The 22,148-nt window shown below is 35.7% G+C and overlaps 1 protein-coding gene across 37 annotated transcripts in view, besides 1 other annotated feature; it reads right to left on the minus strand.

The window, feature by feature from the left end:
* Window positions 1-22,148, minus strand: part of DLG1 (discs large MAGUK scaffold protein 1) — a 256,762-nt gene that overhangs the window by 158,019 nt on the left and 76,595 nt on the right. The window lies entirely within an intron of this gene.
* Window positions 3,131-3,669: an enhancer, noted in NCBI's record as "OCT4-NANOG hESC enhancer chr3:196930580-196931118 (GRCh37/hg19 assembly coordinates)". NCBI's record gives its function as "activates a minimal SCP1, AML or CMV promoter by ChIP-STARR-seq in naive H9 embryonic stem cells {active_cell/tissue: H9 hESC(naive)}" and the evidence as "EXISTENCE:reporter gene assay evidence [ECO:0000049][PMID:30033119]".

The following is a 22,148-nucleotide window of genomic DNA, read 5'->3' on the forward strand; positions in this document are numbered from 1 at the left end:
AAATACTAGCAAATCGAACCCGACAGCACCATCAAAAATATAATACCCCATGATCCAGTGGGATTTATCCTGAGGAGGCAAGGATAGTTCAACATACACAAATCAATAAATGTGATACATCACATAAACAGAAATAAGGTCAAAGGCCTTATTTCAACAGACTCACCTCAACAGACTCAGAAAAAACATTCAATAAAATTCAGCATCCCTTCATAATAAAATGTCCATGACAAACTAGGCTTTGAGAAACATATCTCAACAAAAAAAAGACCATATATAACACACCCACAGTCAACATTATAGTTAATGGGGAAAAGTTAAAAGCATTCCCTCTAAGAACTGGAACAATACCGGAATACCCACTTTCACCACTCTTATTCAACGCGATACCAGAAGACTTGTCACAGCAATTAGGCAAGAGGAAAAAACAAAAGGCATCCAAATTAGAAAAGAGGAAGAAGTGAAATTATTCCTGTTTGCTGATGACATCATCTTTTATCTAAAAAACTCTAAAGACTCCACCGGCCGGGCGCAGTGGCTCACGCCTCTAATCCCAGCACTTTGGGAGGCCGAGGCGGGAGGATCACGAGGTCAGGAGATCGAGACCATCCAGGCTAACACAGTGAAAACCCGTCTCTACTAAAAATACAAAAAATTTAGCTGGGCATGGTGGCAGGCGTCTGTAGTCCCAGCTACTCGGGAGGCTGAGGCAGGAGAATGGTGTGAACCCGGGAGGCGGAGCTTGCAGTGAGCCAAGATCGCGCCACTGCGCTCCAGCCTGGGCGACAGAGTGAGACTCCGTCTCAAAAAACAAACAAACAAAAAACAAACTCTAAAGACTCCACCAAAAAAACTCTCAGATTTGGTAAATGAATTCAGTAAAGTTTCAGGATACGAAATCAATGTACAGAAATCAGTAGTGTTCCTATCCACCAATAATGATCTGGCCAAACACCCAATCAAGAAGGCAATCCCATTTACAATAACTACAAAATAAAATAAAATAATAAAATACCTACGAATATATTCAACCAAGGAGGTAAAAGATCTCTACAAGGAAAACTACAAAACAGTGATGAAATACATTGTAGATGACACAAACAAATGGAAAAACACCCATGCTCATGGATCAGAAGAATGAATATAGTTAAAATGACCACGTTGCCCAAAGCAATCTGGAAGTTCAATGTAATACTACAATAAAATACTAATATCATTTTTCACAGAAGCAGAAAAAAAAATCCTAAAGTTCATATGGAACCAAAAAAGAGCCCAAATAGCTTAGCCAAAGCACTTCAGTGAAATAACTCAGACACAGAAAGACAAATACTGCATGCTCTCACTTGCAAGCAGGAGCTAAATAATGTGTACACATGGAGGCAGAGTGTGGAATGATGGACAATGCAGACTTGCAGGGGTGGAGGGGTGGGAGGGGTGGATGATAGGAGGCTGTCTGGTGGGTACCACGTGCATTGCTTTAGTGATGGATGCCCTGGAAGCCCTCATTTCACCACAATACAGTTTATTAATGTAGCAAACCTGCACTTGTACCCCACGATTATATACAAATAAAACAAATGCATGAAAACCATAACAAATGTAAGATGAGAAGAATTACAAAACGAGTGATAACAATAAATGTAACTGTATTATATCTGCATTTCAAGTCTATCAAGGAAACACTGATTGCTGCATTCCTGAGGAAGACAAAAAACTTCCAAATTTCTCAACCAGATTATAGAACCTGAAAACACAAGAAACGACGCTCATTTTGAATATGAATTCAAATGTTTTGGAAGGAAAAAAAGCAAACTGAATCCAACACTATGATGTGAAATGTATCCCAACAATAAGGATGGCTCAATTTTAAGACATTCATGTCTTCATGTATTTTACCATGATCATCTCAATGAACGCTCTAAGAACCACCTAAGAATCTCAAAATTTTAAACCCATTCCTGATTTTAGGAGAAGAAAAACTCTTAGCAATACAGAAATACAAATAAACTTTTAAAGCATCTACCAGCAATCATATTTAATGGTGAAACAGGCATTCTTAAAGTGGCAATCAAGGCAGTATCATCTTACTCAACACTTCTCTAGCGTTTCTAACCAATATGCTAAAAACAAAACAAAACAAAAACAAGAAGTGTAATTGCCTAAAAGTGCAAACCAGAAAACTGTAAAAGAATTGTAAGGAGATGTGAGCATTATTTCTGAAGAAGTGTTCACAACTTTAACCATTTTCTCAAAGGGATCTGGGAAAATTACTTTAAATAAGTCTGCAGGGTAAGGAGGAATGCTGTCCGTGTCAGAGAACGATGCAGTCTAACCACTGTTAGATTTGTCTTAACAGTGACAGTGAAGTGGAAGGGAAAATGTGTATTTTGTGTACAGAAATGTTAATTTTAGGCCTGGGACAGGAGCTCATGCCTGTAATCCCCAGCACTTTGGAAGGCTGAGGAAAGAAGATCAGGTGAGCCCAGGAGTTCAGGACCATTTTTGAGACTCTGCCTCTACAAAAAATTTTAAAAATTAGCTGGATGTGGTGATGTGTGCCTACAGTTTCAGCTACTGGGGAGGCCGAGGGTAGGAGAACTGCTTGAGCCCGGGAGGTTGAGGCTGCAGTGAGCCATGATCACACCACTGCCCTCCAGCCTAGGCAACAGAGTGAGACCCTGTCTCAAAATAAAGTAAGTAAAATTTGTAAAATCTCCATCTCGTAAAATACTTAGAAAACTGTGTCATAGTCTGTGTCATGAACTTTCAAAAACAGTTCCAAAATCAAAATATTACAGTATCTCCATTCGAAAACTAGGTTTTCTGAAAGTCAAAAGTAGGATATTTTAAATTCTAAAATTTATCTAATAGCAAATATTGTATCTCATGAATCCAGTACACATCATCAATTATAAGATGCCCCAGTAATTATATTTACCCCCAAAAAAGAAAAAAAAACCACTGCCAAATAAATTGTGAAGTACATCAATTGCAAATAATTCCAAATTTGAGACAGGTTAAAAGTAGAGGAAAGTACATTTTAAGATCAATAAAATACATTAATTTAAAGCCACAGACATTTACTACATTTCTTCTCCAAAATCCTCACTTTCACTTTTGCAATCTTTAACCACTAAAAAATTATCCTTTCAAGAGCAAAACTATATTCTTGGTTTCAAGGTTAAAATAAATGGCCTCTGTCAGGGAAAAAGAGCAGTCATTAAATTGTATTGCTCGGGCAGGCAAGAGCCACAGCAAGCAGTAAAAGTGCACAAACTGACAACACTATAATTAAAATAGGGCTGGTGGGGGCCCAAACAACACAGATACTTTTAGGGTAAGGAAGACAATGAAATCTATCCTATGCAAAGAGTCATACTGGGTTAGGAATGAATCTCTCTGTGGCAGAAGGCCCCGGTGTAGGTGCTTGTCTTTAACTTACTTAAATAGAGTACAAAGAACACCTTGCTCACAACAGGTAGCTCAAGAGCCAAGAGCTTTTCTGTTCTCCAGCTAAAGATTATAATCTTATTCCCACTGCTCAGTCTGCTCCCATGTATAGGAAAAATTATGTGAATCAGTGTGATTTCCACATTACACTGACTTCATTTTTCTACTTGTACATTTCAAATGAGCTAACCACAATACAGAAATGCATACGAAACACTATTCTTTTTGTTCTTGACAACGGTTTAATATGAAGCTGCAGGAATAGAAACAGAAGAATCCTATAACAATTGATATTAGATTGCTTGTTTTCCTGAACACGACAAAAGCTGCTACAGGACCAACTTAGAGCCACATCCAGACAAACTGTTTTCAAATGGGGTTAACTATGCTCTTTGTAAAACACCTGCTACTTTGTGATAGGAACTACAGAATGATTTTCCCTCATCCATCAGTGTGTTAATAAAATTAGCTATTATATACATTAACTGGGAGCTGGAATGAAGATTTTAGGTACAATTAAACTATTGCCTGTGGTTAAACAATTTCTCCCAACTAGTCAGCTCTCCATATCTGTGAGTTCCATATCTACAGATTCAAACACCTGCAGATGGAAAACATTTGGGGAAAAAAATACAACAAAAATAATACAAATAAAGAACAATGCAGTGTAACAACTATTTACGTAGCATTTACATAGAATTAGGTATTATAAGTAATTCAGAGATGATTTAAAATACAGGAGGATGTGCACGGGTTATATGCAAATACTATGTCTTCTATGACTTGGGCATCAGCATCCACTGATTTTGGTATCCTGAACCCAATCCCCTGTGGATACAGGAAGATGACTATTCATTCACTTGCTTGGAATAAAAAAAGCATTAAAAATCCCCGAAACCACTGACAGCAATCGCCAAAAGGTTAAGGGCCAAGAAGAACAGAATTACTAATTCAAGCTTTTTAAGGAAGGAAATGTCATATACCAAGATAGGATTTCCACATACCAAACCATCTTGAACATACCAAAAAATAAAAAATAAAAATGTGTTCAACCTTCATATGATAAAGCTATACATGTGAAAAATGGTATACCTTACCAATACTGGGACTTACTCCTTCCCCCAGAAGTAAAGCCTGGATTAGGGAAAGGGCGTGGGAGGAAGGGGGAAGCAAAATACAATACGAACAAAATTGTGTTGTTATGATTTTATAGGAAGATATAAATTTCCAAAACTGGCCATGACTGAATGAGATAAAGCCCTGAAACAATAATCATGAGAAAGGACAACATTCTAAAAAAAAATTCCTCAGAAATGACAAAAAAACTAGAAACCAATCTCACTTATGAATGTAAATACAAAGTTCCAAAACAAAACATTAGCAAAAGAGCTCAGAACATCAAAATATTACAACCCAAGTAGAATACATTCCAAAAATGTCAGAATAGGTAAATATCAAAAAAGCATTTCATGTAACTGACCTCATTAACAAGTCAGAAGGAAAAAAAATTAATGAATACCAAATACTCAACAAACACATCCATTATGATGAAAAACAACCACTATCACCTCTTGGAGTAAAACAGTACAACTGGACAGCTTCCTACTATAAACCAAACTAAAACCGACATTACAATTAATGGTGAAATATACTCACTAAAACTGAGAACAAAACTTTTCTATGGCAGCTATAGTAAGTTACCAAACATAGTGGCTTAAAACAACCCACATTTTTGTAGTTCTGTAGTTGAGAAGTCCAAAATGTGTCTGAGGAGGCTCTACAGAAGAATCTCTTTTCTTGCCTTTTCCAGTTTCTGGGGACTGTCTATATACATTGCTTGGCAGGGGGCCCACTTCCTCCATCTTCAAAGCCACCAATGTCAGGCCAAGTCCTTCTCATGCTGTCATCTCTCGGATTCTGTTTTCCAATTCCTTCTTCCAAGGAAACTTTGGGTCCACCCAAATAATTTAGGATAATCTCCCTATCTTAAAATCAGTTTATTAAAAACCTTATTTCCATTTGTGACGTTAATTTCCTTTTGCCATGTATTCACAGGTTCAAGGGGCTATCTATAGGGCACAGACATCTTTGAGGGGGGCAGAAGGGTAGGCAGGGAGGGCATTATTCTGACTATTACAGTATGCTCCTGAAAAGTAAACAAAGAAATCCATGACGTAAAGGGTCAAATGATTTCTACGGATTCTTCTAAGATGGCATTTAAAAAAATCAGTATATACTCTTGATTTTAAAAATAACTCTTAATTATGTAAGATATTTTCTTTTTCTTTTGAGACAGGATCTCACTCTGTTACCAAGGCTGGAGTGCAGTGGCGTGATCTCGGCTCACTGCAACCTCCCCTTCCCAGGCTCAAGAAATCCTCCAGCCTCAGCCTCCCAAGTAGCTGGGACCACAGGCACAAGCCACCATGCCCAGCTAATTTTTGTATTTTTTGTGGAGACAGGGTTTCACCACATTGCGCAGGCTGGTCTGGAACTCCTGAGCTCAAAGCGATACACCTGCCTCAGCCTCCCAAAGTGTTAGGATTACAGGCATGAGCCTTGATTTATAGTATCTTTCTATTCACCAAAAAGTCAACCATTAATCTGATTAATGGGGAAACACATCATTTGCATTAAAGTCAGAAATAAGCATATCATTATAACTACTGCTAACACTTTTCAGGAGATACAAGAAAAAAAACTATGAGATAAAAAAATTAGAAGGACAAGGATAAAATTACCACAATTTACAGATCACCTGATGGTAAATCCAGAAAATCCAAGAGAAATGTAAAAAATTAATAAATAAATAAATAAAAATAAAGAACGATATACCAACAATAAACAATAAAAGATTTCAGTTAGGTATCCAGGTAGAAAATGAATATATAGATATCGATTGCTTTCATTTAACTAAGTATGCTGGAAATTCTGTTGGACTGCTTTCAAGTAGGACCTGCCACCTGTTTTTGTAATGAAGTTGTAGTGGAACACAGCCACACTCATTCTCATTTCCATGTATGATGTATGGCTGCTTTCTAGCTGCCTCTGTGATGCGGTGGCGGAGCTGGGAAGCAGACGGCCCACAGAGGCTAAAATATTCACTATCTGGTCCTTTACGCAAAGTTTGCTCTTTGCTCTTTACGCAAAGTTTGTCCTTCACGCAAAGTCTGCTCTTTACGCAAAGTTACACAAACTTTACGCAAAGTTAAATCTCTGATTTAAACTAATAATAAGCAATTAGATGGTACAAGGAAATAGAAGGCCATATCTGAAATAGAAACAAAAAAGATAAAATGCCCAGGAATAAAACCAAAGTATCCAAATGTCCGGCTTTACCAAATGAAAAGAAGACAGACCACGTTCTTGGCAGAAAGAATCAAGTCAAAGATATCATCTCCTTCCTAAGTTTATCTATACTTTTATCTTTAACATAATCCCAATAAAAAGGCCAACAGAAAATTTATTCATTTATTCAAATATTTATGCAGGAATTAGAAGAGGTAACTGAAATTCTTGTAAAAAACCAGCAAGAAAAAAAGAAAGTCTATAGATAAGGAGTAAGTGTGCACAATCTTCAACAAATTTTAAAATCTATTATAAAACCTTGATTAATATATGGTATTACTGGTACAAGAACAGAAAGATTAGTGAAACAAAGATGAAAATCGGCATATAAATAGAAATTTGGTACTATTTTTAATAAAGTTTATATCTTCAACCAATATCATTGGTTAAAAGATTATTCAATAAATAGCAAGGGGGAAAATGGGTAGCTACAACAAAAATATCCTGAAGATTTTTTTAAATGAGACTATAACACAAGATTCTTCTAGAGAAATTCTTTTATAACTATAACAAAGACCTATATAGCTGTAACATAATACTGAGAAGCCATTAAAAAAAGACTGATAAATTTGACTAGAAGTCAAAACGTTAAAAAATACGAAAAAAAATTGTAACTTAAATCCAAAGGACTAATTTCACAAACACATTTAAAAACTTCTTAGTCCCTAAGAAAAAGATACAAAACCCTCCAGCCCTCTCTCTAATGCATGGAACAAGAACAAGCAAACAATTTAGAGAAAAAAAAAAATCAAGTAATTCTTACATATACAAAAATATGTTTATCTACTACTCCCAAGAGGATAAATGTAAATTAAAGCTACGCTGATATACTACTTCTCACATTATCAGATTGTCAAATATCCAAGTTTGATAACATACTATATACTGATGAGGACATAGGAAAAACAGGCACTTTCATACGAATCTGTGGAGTGTACACTGGTACTACCTCTATAAAAGGACAATTTCACAACTTCTATCAAAATTATGAATACATAGAACCTCTGACCTGATAATTCTACTTTTAGGAATTTATCCTATAGAAATATTGCCATGTTTACAATCGAAGTGTGTAGGCAGTTATTTATTGTAGTATTGTTTGTAAAACAAATAATTAAAAACATCCATCACTATATCCAGTAACAATGAACTTGTCAAATAAATCATTCTTATTCAAATAAGAGAATATCACAAGTCATAAAATGATGAGAAAGGTCTTCAGGTATGGAAATAGAAAAAACTCCAGAATATAATGTTAAGTGGTGAAAACAAGTCCAGAATAGTATAGACTACACTCCTGTGTGTGTGGCGGGGTGGGGGTAGTTGGGGGGATAGTAAGAGGAAGAGAAAATACACATATTTGCTTATATACGGAGAAACCAGGATGCATAGGAAACAGATAACTTTAGTTGCTTGACGAGAGGAGATTTACCCCTGGGGGAAAGAGGCAAGAGGGAGACCTTTTCATCTTCATACAGCTTTTAAATTTCAAGCCATGTGAATGTATTATTCATTCACAAAATTACCTTTAGAATGAAAAAAATTTTAATGAGTTGATAAAACAATCATTACAGGAGATACTGGTACACAGCTAGAAAATCCAAGCAAATCCACTAAAAAAATTACTAGAAGTAATTTAGTATGTTAACTGATTTTAATTAATAATTAGTAAAAATCAGATTTCTCATATTTAAAAGGCAAATTAAAACAAATATGACTTGGGCCACCACTAAATGATGTTGAGAATCTGAGCATGAATCTTACTTCATGCAAAGCGAGAGATATACTTCGTAAAAAAAGGCAGAGTGAAAGCATATGAATGAAAAGAAAAGGTATATAAACTGTAAGCATAAGAAAGCTAAAGTGCCTATATTAACATATGATAAAACAGACTTCAAGACAGAGTATTTATCTAAAGAAAAAGAGATTTCAAAATGCTAAAAATTTAATTCACCAGGAAGTTATAAGAACCATAAATGTGTGTACTTAATAACAGGGCCTTAAAATACATAAGCAAAACCAACAGAAACTAAAGGGAGAAACAGACAATTCTACAATTTTAGTAAGAGATTTAAACTCCTTGATTAGCAACTGATAGAACTATACAAATATAAGACAAATTGAACAAAGTATCAACTGTCTTGACCTAATTAACATTTATGATAAACAACACTTAACAACTGAAGAAAATACATCACCTTCTGTGAATATGGTACATTTGCCAATACAGACCATATGCTAGGCCACAAAACAAGTCACAAATTTAAAAGGATTGAAATCACAACCAATCCATTCTCTAACCACAATGGAATTAACTGAGAAACAAGGTATCTAGTAAAATTCCTAATATTTGAACATTAAACAACACACTTCTAAAAATCTCATGGTTCAAAGAACTCAAGAAGGAAATCAGAAACAATTCAGAATGGAGTAATAATGAAGCTAAATAGGACTATGTAGTAAAGAATTTAACCTTGCTTTTAGCTCCCTCCAAACCCTTGGAATGTCCTGATTGAATTTCCCTGGTTGGAATACTCAGTGCTTATTGTCACACATTGTTACCAGAAGGGTTAACATCATCCATGACTCCAGAGAAGACAAATGGAAACTCCTCATTTGGAAATTTTCTGGACTTTTATCTCTCCCATGGCTGATTTTAATCTGTATCCTTTCAAGTAATAAACCATAACTGTGAGTATAATAGCTTTCAGTGAGTTCTGTGAGTCCTTCCAGTAAATTACTGAACCTGAGGGTTCTGAACTATTAACAAACTTTACAAGTACTTAAAAGGAAATCTGTAGCTTTAACTGCTTACATTAAAAATGAAAGTTTAAAATCACTGACCTAAGGATCCACCTTGAGAAGCTATAAAAAAAAAAAAAGACTAAGTAAAGTAAACCTGAGGGGAAGAGAAGGAAGGAAATAATAAAAGGCAGAAATCAATGAAACAGAAAACAAAGAATTGAGTATATTAACAAAGCCAAATAATCATAAAAACAGATAAACCCTATTCTAGACAGATCAAGGAAAGAGAGAATATAATTACCAATAATAAAAAATGCAAGAGAGGTTATCACTGAAAAAACCTATAGATCTTATAAAGATAATAAAAGATAATTATAAAAAACTTTAGGCAAACTAATCCAATAGGTTAGATGAAATCAAGAAATTCCCCAAAAAACACATCTTACCACACACCATATTCTGACACAATATAAAACAGTAAATGTGAGTGGCCTCTCAAATTTATATATATATATATAAGTCTTTATAAGAAATATATTTTCTTTAATATATATTAAAGAATTCAATCTGTTACCAAAATTCTTCCCACTGAGAAAACTCCAGGCCCAAATACACTAAATTCTACCAAGCATTTAAGAAAGAAACAATATCAATTTTACATAATTCTTTCAATAAATAGAGTGAACATCTCCCAACTATGAGATCAGCATAACCTTAATACCAAAACCTGACAAAGACATTACGAAAAAAGAAAATGACACAAATATCCTTCATGAACACAAATGCAAGAATCCTTTTTAAAATACAGCAAATTGAATATGAAAAGGATGCTGTAAAGGATAATACATCATGACCAAATATGATTTATTTCAACAAGGCAAGGTTAGTTTAACATCTAAAAAATAAATTAATGTAATTCTCTATATTTAACAGAATGAAGGAGAAAAATTATATAATTATTTCAACAGACATATAAAATATGTGATCCAATTGAATACCAATTCATAAAACTCTCAGCAAACTAAAAATCCAGAGGAACGATCTAAATCTGATAAAGGGCATTTATGAAAACCCTACAGCTAACAGATGCACAAAGAAGAGCTGGTACCATTTCTACCGAAACTATTCCAAAAAAATTAAAGAGGCTGAACTCCTCTCCAACTCATTCTATGAGGCCAGCATCATCCTGATACCAAAACCTGGCAGAGACACAACAAAAAAAGAAAACTTCAGGCCCATATCTTGATGAACATTGATGCAAAAATCCTCAACAAAATACTTAAAAACTGAATCCTGTAGCACATTAAAAAGCTAAACCGCCACAATCAAGTAGGCTTCATCCCGGGATGCAAGGCTGGTTCAATACACGCCAATCAATAAATGTGATTCATCACATAAACAGAACTAAATAAATGCAAATCAAACACACAATGAGATACCATCTCCCACCTGTCAGAGTGGTTATTATTAAAAAGTCAAAAAAACAGATGCTGGTGAGGTTATGGAGAAAAGGGAATACTTATACACTGTTGTTGGGAGTACAAATGGGTTCAACCATTGTAGAAAGTAGTATGGTGATTCCTCGAAGAGCTAAAAGCAGAACTACCATTTGACCCAGCAATCCCATTACTGGTTATATACCTAGAGGAATATAAATCATTCTACCACAAAGACACATGTGCACAAACGTTCACTGCAGCACTACTCACAATAGCAAAGACATGGACATCAATGACAGACTGGCTAAAAAAAATGTGGTACATATACACCATGGGATACCATGCAGCCCTGAAAAAGAACACGATCATGTCTTTTGAGGGAAGATGGATGTTGCTAGAGGCTATTATCCTTAGCAAACTAACACAGGAACAGAAAACCAAATACTGAATGTTCTCACTTATAAGTGGGAACTAAACGATGAGAACTGATGAACACAAGAGAACAACAGACACTGGGATCTACTTGAGGGTGGAGAGTGGGAGGAGGGAGAGGAGCAGAAAAGGTAACTACTGGGTACTGGGCTTAATACTTGGGTGATGTAATAATCTGTTCACCTATGTAACAAAGCTTCACGTGTACCCCTGAACCTAAAAGTTTTAAAAAACAAACAAAAAACCCTACCGCTAATGCACACAATGGTGATATGTTCAACATTAAGATGGAGGAAAGGATGCTTACTTGCCTCACTTGTTTTCAACATTATGCTGGAGGCCCTAATTGTGGCTGGAAGGCAGGCAAAAGAAAGTAAAAGTGTAACAGCCAGTAAAGATTAAGTAAAACTGTCTCTATTTGCAAATGACATGACTGTTCGCACTGAAAACCCTAAGGAATTTACAAGACTACAGGCAGAGTTAGTTTCTTCTAAGGGCTGTGAGGAAGAATCTGTTCCGTGCCTCTCTTCCTGACTTCCAGCGGCTTGCTGGCAGTCTTCCGCACTCCTTGGCTTACAGATGCATCACTCTGATCTCTGCCTTCATCTTCACATGGCATTCTTGCCGTGTCATGTCTCTTTGACCAAATTCTTCCTTTTTATAAGCACACCAGTTATACTGGAATAGCCCATCCCAATAATCTCATTTTAATTTGACTATCTCTGTAAAGACCTTATCTCCAAATAAGGTCATATTCTGAGATATTAGGGGCTAGGACTCCAACATATCTTTTTTTGTGAGAGACAGAATTCAACCCAAAACACTTAACAAAAGAAGATTTACTCATGTAAAGCATGAAATGATACTCAACATCACAAGTTATCAAAGAAATGCAAATAAAGCCACAATACCCACTAAATCACTGCATATCCGCTAAAATGGCCAAATTTGGGGAGAAAGAAGAGACAAAGACAAGCATTGGTGAAAATGTGGAGCGACTGGGACTCTCATCAACTGCCCAAATGTGAAAATAACCATTCTTATACCTAGGATATGAAAACAACCTCAAGACAGTTATCAAAGAGAAATAAAAATATATGTCCACACAAAAACTTGTACATGAAGATCCCTAACACCTTCATTCAAAATAGCCAAAAGCTGTTAACAATCTAAATGTCCATCAACAGATAGGAATAAACAAAGTGTTTTATATCCAGACACCAGAATACACCTCTTCAATAAGAAGAAAACTGCTGACACAAACAACCTCAATGAATCTCAAAAGCATTATTAGGAGCTTTTTTTTAAAAAGACACTAAAGAGTCTTACTGTATGAATCCATTTATATAAAATGTTTGAAAATGTAAAATAATTTATCGTGAGAAAGGCAGATTAGTGGTACCTGGTGGGGAGTGGAGGGCTGAATGAATACCAAGGAGCACAATCTTTTTGGAGTGAGGAAAATACTCTGTATCTCAACTATGGAAATGGTTTCACAGGGGTCTGCAGCTGTCAAAACTAATCAAACTGTACGCTTTACACAGACACAGCTCAATGAATGTAAATTATACTTCCGTAAAAATGATTAAACAAAATAGTACATATTTGTAAATCTGTTAGAAAACATCCCATTTCCAAAAGCATCAACAACAACAAAAATGAGAACTTGAATTAAATGTAAAGGGCCAATCTCTATGAAGAAAACTTCAAAATGCTACTGAAGTGAATAAAGCAACACTACTTAGTTATTCTTGGATAAAGGCTCATTATTTTAAGTTTGAATTTTCCAAGAAAATAATCTATAATAATGTTTTTGCAATCAAAATATCAATACAGTTTTATTTGGGTGAGTCAGAGTATGTGGCAGGGTACTAGTAATTATAATCTGAAAAAACTGGCATATGAGAAGAAAATTCTGAATTAAAAGTCATGAGAGGCAACTGGCTCTATCCAGTTCTCTCACAGAGAAGCAGTAGAAGGTCTCAATAATTAAAAGTTTGATAGCAGCACAAACAAAGAGAAACAAAGTGTTGAACAGACCACTGAGTCTACAATACAACCAAATGAATATGCAAATGTAATAGCTGTGATAAGAATAATATTTTAAATCAGTAGGGGAATGATGGATTATTGAATAAACAGTATTTGGTAAATGGCCATTTGGGGAAAAATATAAGGATTCTTATGGCATAACTTAAAAAAAAATACCTATTAGATCACAGACCTAAATATAAAGAACTGACCCAAACACTTAAACAAAATATGAATAAACTTGTTCCTACCGTTGGAATGGTGAAGTCTAAGTAAGAAATGATATTCAGGGCCAGGCGCGGTGGCTTTGGGAGGCCGAGGTGGGAGGATCATGAGGTCAGGAGATTGAGACCAGCCTCGCTAACACGGTGAAACCCCGTCTCTACTAAAAACACAAAAAGTAGCCGGGCGTGGTGGTGGGCGCCTGTAGTCCCAGCTACTCGGGAGGCTGAGGCAGGAGAATGGCGTGAACCCAGGAGGCGGAGCTTGTAGTGAGCCGAGACAGCGCCACTGCACTCTAGCCTGGGCGACAGAGCGAGACTCTGTCTCAAAAAAAAAGAAATGATACTCGGAAACAAAAAAGACTAATAAATTTGAATACATAAAATTTAAAACTTTTGTGTCACCAACTTAAAAAGAAAATGCCAACTAGTTTGGGGGGAGGGGTAGGAGGAGGGAGAGCTCAAGTACATTACAAAAGGGCCAGTTTTGAAATTTATAATAAAGTCTTACAAATCAATTTTTAAAAAACGAAAAAGAAAAATGAGCAAGACACACAGACTGGCAGTTCATTGTATAAAGAATTACAAATACTCAATAAACAATGAAAAGATGTTCATCCTCCCACTCAAGAAGAAATGCACATTAAAACAATGATCTATCACTTTTATCTGGGCATACCCACAAAACCACAAATGCCCAATAATACCTAGTTTTGATGAAGGTGTGGGAAAACAGAAACTCTAATACAGGTAAAAACATAAATGAAAGTAACTTTTTGCCAGCAATTTAACACTATCAAAATATTAAATACATATAACCTTTGACTCAGGAATTTTATTTTTGTGTGATAGCAGCGAAACTTGTTATTTACAAATGATATTACTATTTGTATACAAATACAATTAAAACTGGTATTATTCTAAAGCTTTAGTAATTAAGATAATGCGTAATGGCACAGGGTTAGACAGGCTGATGACTGGAACATAAGTAATAGTTCAGAAACAGACTCACATGTGGGAATGAAGGACATTATATATCATGGGGAAAATGGGAAGAATTTGTCAATAAATGTGACTGGGATAATTGAGTATCCATTAGAAAAAATGAAATGTGACTCCTGTATCATACCAAAACAAAAATTTCAGGCAGATTTGAGATCTCAATGTGAAAAGATTTAATATAAAACTTTTAGAAGACAATACTACATAGGAGATTATGACTTCTAGTATGTAAGGATAGTCAAAACAAGACAAGAAATGTGTAAACCTAAACAGAAAACACTGGTAATTTGACATTAAAATTACCAACTGATTCTATTCATCAGAAGATAACATAACGGTCAGTTAACAGAGTTACGAAAGAAAAAAAGAAAAGAAAAATAAAAAATGAACATATCCTAATGTGCTGAACCAAAAAGCCACAAGCCATAAAATCTCTAACAACTATATTCAACATTACCCAGTGGTTCAAAAATATACAAAATCAACAATTTATTGTTCAGGAATTGTTTTTTAAAAAAGCAAGGAATACCAAATATAGAATTCAGAATTATTACTGAGTTGGGAAGGAATGACAAAGAATCTGAGGAGAGCAAACAGGGGACTTCTAAGGAAACAGGTATTACTCTTTTATTATTTTTAATATTATGTAGCAATTCTTTATACCTACATATATTTTATACCTATTAGTTTGTATCTACTCAATATTGAATAAAGGCAAATTTTAAATGCCATGCAAATGACCAAGAAACCATACTCTGTCAAACTTTTGTATACCACTAGGGTTCACTGAACCCAATTCTAGTTTTTATGGGGCAGAGGGTGGTAATTAAAAGCAATTCTAAATATTTTAAAGATTGCTTTTCCAATATTGTTACTCTTTCTTAAGATATTTCATATAACAAAGAGAAAATTTACTTTTTTACATATGAATAAAATTCATTCTATCTGGAAATAAATCATCACTATTCCATCATCCTTCAGACACCAACTTGGTAAGTCTCTCCTTTTTTTTACTTAAGCTTTTGCTGAACACAGTTAAGAATTCAAAAATTTTAACTTTTGGCCTGCGTTGAAAGATTCCCAAGATTATTCCCAGATTCAATGATTTGCTGGCAGGACTTATGAGAGTGAGTCATATTCACAGATATGATTTATTACGACGAAAGGCTACAAAGCAAAAATCAGCAAAGAAAAAAGGCACATGGGGCAGTCTGGGGGAAACTGGGAGCTACTTTCCAGAATCCTCTCCCAATGGAGTCACATAAGATTTCCTGAATTCACCCACCAACAAGTTGTGACAATACATGTGAAATGCTGTCTACCATGAAAGACTGTTAGAGACTCAGGACCCAGGGTTTTCACTGTGGGCTGGTCACATAGGCACCTAGCACATGACAAAATTTCAGACTCCCAGAAGGAGGTATTCGGCAGAAATAGTATTTTGTATAAACAGTTTAGGCACAGTAAGCGACTTGATCAGCTAGTGGTAGGAATCCTTCTGAAATCTAAGTTTCCAGACACTAGTCAACAGCCAACCTTACAAGCTGGCCTTTTCAAAGAGAGCAGTTTAGGTTATGTTAACTTTTTTGTGAACACCACCATTAATGGCAAAGAGAAGAAAACTGACAGAGAGATATTTTACAACTACTAGCTGATCAAAATATGAATGAAAATAAAGATAGCAACACTGTAGATTAATGACAATGGCGAATTTAATTGTAGAAGTAACATCGGAGACAAGTCTTCACATGACAATATTCTAAATGAATTTTCTCAAATTCAAGAATAGATGAGTGAACAACTTAGGTTTAAAGGAAATGTAGCATTTTCATCCACTTAGTCATTAAACAGGACTTAATCATGCAATTTTTTGTGACAAGAACTTGGACCATCCCAGTATCCTAAGAGTATATGTGAGAGTATGCTCTCGTTTTTTATAGTGATACACCATAATTTGTCCGTAAGCTGACAACTGTTGAAGGTAGATAAGTACACAAAGGTGGATGAAAGGAAACAGATGATACAAAAATAAAGAATTAAATGGACTGATCATTCTAATTGGTGTTGATTAATCAGAAAATGAAATGCTTTCCAATTATGGATCAAGAACAATGAATGTCCTCCCTACTTCAAGATTATGAACCATCGAAGTTTGTAAACTATGTTTTGATTTCAAGTGAAAAAACAAAACCTATTAAAATTTGGAATCAGTATGTACAAAATGGATATATATTTCATGTTCATGTAGGGCAGCTGATGAGTGGTTATTTACATTCAAAGAATACCACACATTTTGGGTACAAACATCTTCACAAACAAATGTGTTATAAACATACAATGGAATAATACTCAACAATTAAAAGGAAGGAAATACTGATACAGGCAAGGACACAGATGAATCTCAAAATAATTTGAAAGGAGCCAGACTTAAAAATAGAACATATTTTATGGCTCCATTTATATAAAACTCTAGAAATGCAAACTAATCTATAATGACAAAAATCAAACCAGTAGTTGTCTGGGAGAGAAGAGAACAGGGAAGGACAGGAGGGAGGGACTGAAAAGCAGCTTTGGAAAATTTTTTCAAGTGATGGATACATTTACCATCTTGATTATAGTGATGGTTTCACAGGTGTACACAGATGTCAACACTTAAAGACGCTGTACTTTTTTAATATGTGTAGTTTATTATATGTGAATTATATCCCAGTAATGCTGATTTTAAAAATTGGGTTTGCTATGTTTAGATTCTAATTAAAATTTCTAACAAAGATTTTTCATTACTCCTTTATTCTTCTGTTATTTACAAACAACTTCAATTATTTAAAAATAAAAAGAACAGCAATGTAAGATAAAAAGTGACAAAGAATGATGAACAATCTTCTAGATACTGTGGGTTAAGTAACTGTCAGCTAAGAGAAGTGTTCGAGGCAGTCTGTATAGCAAATATCCAACACTTACAAAAACGATGAAAAGAGCATGATGAAATTTATAATCATCATAATTTACATTTCAAATTTGTGAAATATGTCAAATATGGATTGCTCTTTTCTCTAAAACCAATGAGGAAGCCTAAAAAAAGGCTTCTGCCAGGAGTTCCCAGTGGTTTGCTTATCACATCTCTTAATGGCTATGAACTTCAAGGGAAGGTTTCTTTTTTATGTACTTTATCTCCAGCAAGTGCCAAAGACAGCTTAAAATAGACTCATTTTCTTAAAAAACACAGCTATACTGTCAGAACAAACCCACTCTTGGACCGTAAGTCCAGGAAAACACAGTCAACTGCTTCATTCCTTAAAACGTACTATCAAACAAGTTATTATTTTCTACTTCTGCAAGACTAATAAGCAATCAGGAACTATAACTTCTCCTGCTGTCTGAGATGTTTTTACAGAGACCGTTCCCTATTGATGGATAGGCTATATTCAAAAAATCAGTAATTTTTGCTTGTTTGGAACAATTTAAAATAACAATGTAAATTATGACTAGGTTCCTAAAGCCAACCCATAAAAAGCCCACTTAACACAACATACCTTAGACCTATATTAATTCAAACACAGGTAGTCATCAAACACACACAGATGCATTTTGAAATTAAAACTCGGCCGGGTGCGATGGCTCACGCCTGTAAGCCCAGCACTTTGGGAAGCCGAGGCGGGCGGATCACCTGAGGTCGGGAATTCAAGTCCAGCCTGACCAACATGGAGAAACCCGTCTCTAGTAAAAATACAAAATTAGCCAGGCATGGTGGTGCATGACTGTAATCCCAGCTACTCCGGAAGGCTGAGGCAGGAGAATCGCTTGAACCCAGGAGGCAGAGGTTGCGGTGGGCCGAGATGCGCCACTGCACTCCAGCCTGGGCGACAAGAGTGACACTTGGACTCAAAAAAAAAGAAGAAAAAAAAAAGAAATTAAAACTCAGATTACCAAAACGTTCACTGTCCTCTTACCTATCCTCTATTCTCAAACACATGCTCAAGATGTTTCTTCTTTGGTAGTAGCAAATAGGCATAGGGTGGCCAAATTGAGAAGCAGAGGCTACAATGACTTTCTTAATCTGAAAATTCAAGTAATTTAAACATTGAATATTCTTAAACCACATCACCTTTACTTATTCACTTGGCAATCTCCCTTGATGATAGGATTTGTTCAAACCTAATTTACGAATGCTCAGTGAACTTTATAAATAAAATGTTTTACAAAAATGTGATATATCATCAAAGCCTAGATTCAAAACCTCTTTCACATGCTTGTCAACTTAAAGCCCTGGCTCTCCCTTTACTAATAAGCCCTGGCTGAATTATGTCCCCCGCCCTCCCCACCAAAATTCACATACTGAAGTCCTAACTTCTAGTACCTCAGAATGTATCTTTATTCGAAGACAAGGACTTCAAAAAGGTGATTAAGATGTGGCCATTAGGGTGTGGTAGTCCAATCTGACTGGTTTCCTTACAAAAGAAGGAAATTTGGACACACTGAGAGACACAGCGGGGATATGCATGCACGGAGGAAAGGCCACGTGAAGAGGCAGTAAGAAGGTGGCCATCTGCAAGCTGAGGGGAAAGGCCTCAGGGGAAATCTCACCATGCACAGAGGAAAGGCCTTGGGAAATCTCGCCGGCACTTTGAGCTTGGACTTTCAGCCTCCAGAACACTGAGAAATTAAATTTGCTGTCTAAGCCAACCAATAAATCTGCAGTTTTTGTTATGGCAGCCCTAGCCAACTAATACAGAGCTTTAAAAAACATTACTATGTACACTGTAGAATTTAATACTCTAAAAAGTTTTATTCCATCGTCTCCACTGACAGAATTTCTAAATTAATAAGAGAAAAGTTACACTAGGTAACATGATTAGTACATAAATGCCTTACGGGCAGATTTCCTTTGTTTACTGCTATATACCTAGTGCACAGGTGCTTAATTACTGAGAGAATGAATCAATGAATAAATTAATCAATAATTTTCTTCATAAAAATTAGAAAGACACATACCCTATTTTAACTTCCTGAAATGATTTCACTGCTTCAATGTTATATATTTAAACCAAGTGGTATTTGTTTTAAAATAAAATGTTCTTTTAAAACGTACGACTTTCCATTTATAAAAAGAAAATTTTATAAGTATATAAAGTGTGAAAAAGAAAATTTCAAAAATAAGTACATTCTTAAAGGAAGAAAAATTACATTCCAAAATGTAATGTACTAGATTTTCAAAGAAAAGGCTAATAATATATATCACAGTGTAGTTCTAAATGGATATAGGAGAACAATAATCAACTATTTCTAGCTGCAGACATATTATGGGGCCACTGCTATCAGCAAATGCTAATAGAAACTATTTCCCAATATATGAAAAAATTATTTAATTCATTCAGTTTAAGAAAGGAGTTTTTGGACTTTTTTCTTTGTACCCCACCTATCCAGCAGAAAAAGAAAGGAGTTTAATACACCATCCTGAAAGACTGAGGAACTAGCTAGAGTCCCATAGTCACTGAAGAATACTGTTTTTCCTTTGGAGAAACCATGAAGTCAATAAAAAGGGACTTTAAAATAGAACAGTACCCTAAAGATACTGGCTCAATGTAAAGGTTTGGTAGCACAGAAATGAGAAAGTACATTTCATCTTAGAAGAAGGAAGATACTAGAGGAGGGCTGTGCTTTTAATATCAAAAGGCATTTAACCTTAATTACTGTTAAAAATTATTCTAATCCAATTCTAACAAGCAAACTGCTATTGATCATTATTTATTACACAGTATTTTTCAATTTGAAATCTTTTTGAAACAGTATTCTTAAATAAGAATATCTTAAGTTACCTATTAGTGCTCAGTGAACTGTTTCAAGGAAACCTTACATACCACATACCATACCCTAAAAGCAAAGGGGCATACTCCTTTTACTTGAGTGTAATGGTAGCTCTTTTGCAATATTTACTTTTGCTTCTGAAGGCTGGAACAAAGAAGTGAGAAGGATAAAGAAACATAACAGGGACCGGGCGTGGTGGCTCACGCCTGTAATCCCAGCACTTTGAGAGAACAAGGCGGGTGGATCACCTGAGGTCAGGAGTTCGAGACCAGCCTGGCCAACTTGATTGAAACCCCATCTCTACTAAACATACAAAAAATGAGCCGAGTGTGGTGGCGGGCGCCTGTAATCCCAGCTACTCGGGAGGCTGACGTGGGAAAATCACTTGAATCCGGGAGGTGGAGGTTGCAGTGAACCGAGCCGAGGCTGCACCACTGCACTCCAGCCTGGGTGACAGAGTGAGACTCCATCTCAAAAAGAAAAGGAAAAAAAAAAAAGAAACATAACAGGAAGCAAACACTCAATAAAGCTATGTTTCAACCTTTATGTAGACATTTTACCAACTAGATGTGTGAAGAGAGAGCCTCAGTTGCACTTTTCTGCTTTATCTCAGCTAAACAGACACATTACTTGACAAGTTCTAAAATTAATCCGACTTCAGTAAAAATACTGCCTGTATGCATTAGGTCAGACACTGTAGATTGCTTTGCCCAACACTACAATCTGTTTTCCCTGCTTTTGTTTAATATAGAGGCTATAAAAGCTAAATACTGTACAGTCATCCTTTGGTATCTGTGGGGGACACGTTCCAGGACCTCCCAAAGAGACCAAAATCTGAAGATACTCAAGTCCCCTGATATAAAGTGGTGTATGTAGTATTTGCACATAACCTATGTACATCCTCCCATATACTTTAAATCATCTCTAGAGTACTTACATTGCCTAGTACAATGTTAATGCTATGTAAATAGTTGTTATAATGTATTGCTCAGGGAAAAATGACAAGAAAAAATGTCTGTATACGTTCAGTACAAACACAATTTTTCCCCCGAATTCTGATCCACAGTCGGTTGAATCCACAGATGCAGAACCATGGATACGAACAGCTGACTGCAGTTAGGTTTCCAACTCTCCCTTACTACTAGGAGAGTCCGTGTGACACAGTTTTAATCAATGAAATATACGCAGACATCTACTAGCTTCATAAACCACACTCCTTTCCCCTTTCCACCCTTTCCCCGTCTTTATGACTAGAGCTGCAACAGACATCTTTCAATGAAGCAAAGCCCAAGAAAAAAGATGTCCACAGCTGTAGCAGCTGCATATTTCCAAGCTGACTATAATGAGGAAAAAATAGGGGTCCATTTGTTTAAAGTCATTGTTAGTTTAGTATTTATTATTTGCAAATATCTTAAGCATATTTCACCCAGGGAGAAGTGGGGTGGGTAGTGGGGAAAATGATGTAATTGTAAGATAGGTCTTCTCGTTTTCCACCCAATTATCTCTTAACAGCAAAAAACAAATCATTAAGAATATGAAGCAACATAGCAAGGAGATACGAACAAGTCCCTGAAGCTACTTGTATCCCTGGCCAAGAAACACAGCTAAGTGGGAACAGTACCTTTTCCAATAAAATAGAATCGCCAAGGCTTTAACACCTTACACTATTTCCCTG

This window comes from Homo sapiens, chromosome 3 (genome assembly GCF_000001405.40).
Source record: "Homo sapiens chromosome 3, GRCh38.p14 Primary Assembly".
Lineage (NCBI taxonomy): Eukaryota > Metazoa > Chordata > Mammalia > Primates > Hominidae > Homo > Homo sapiens.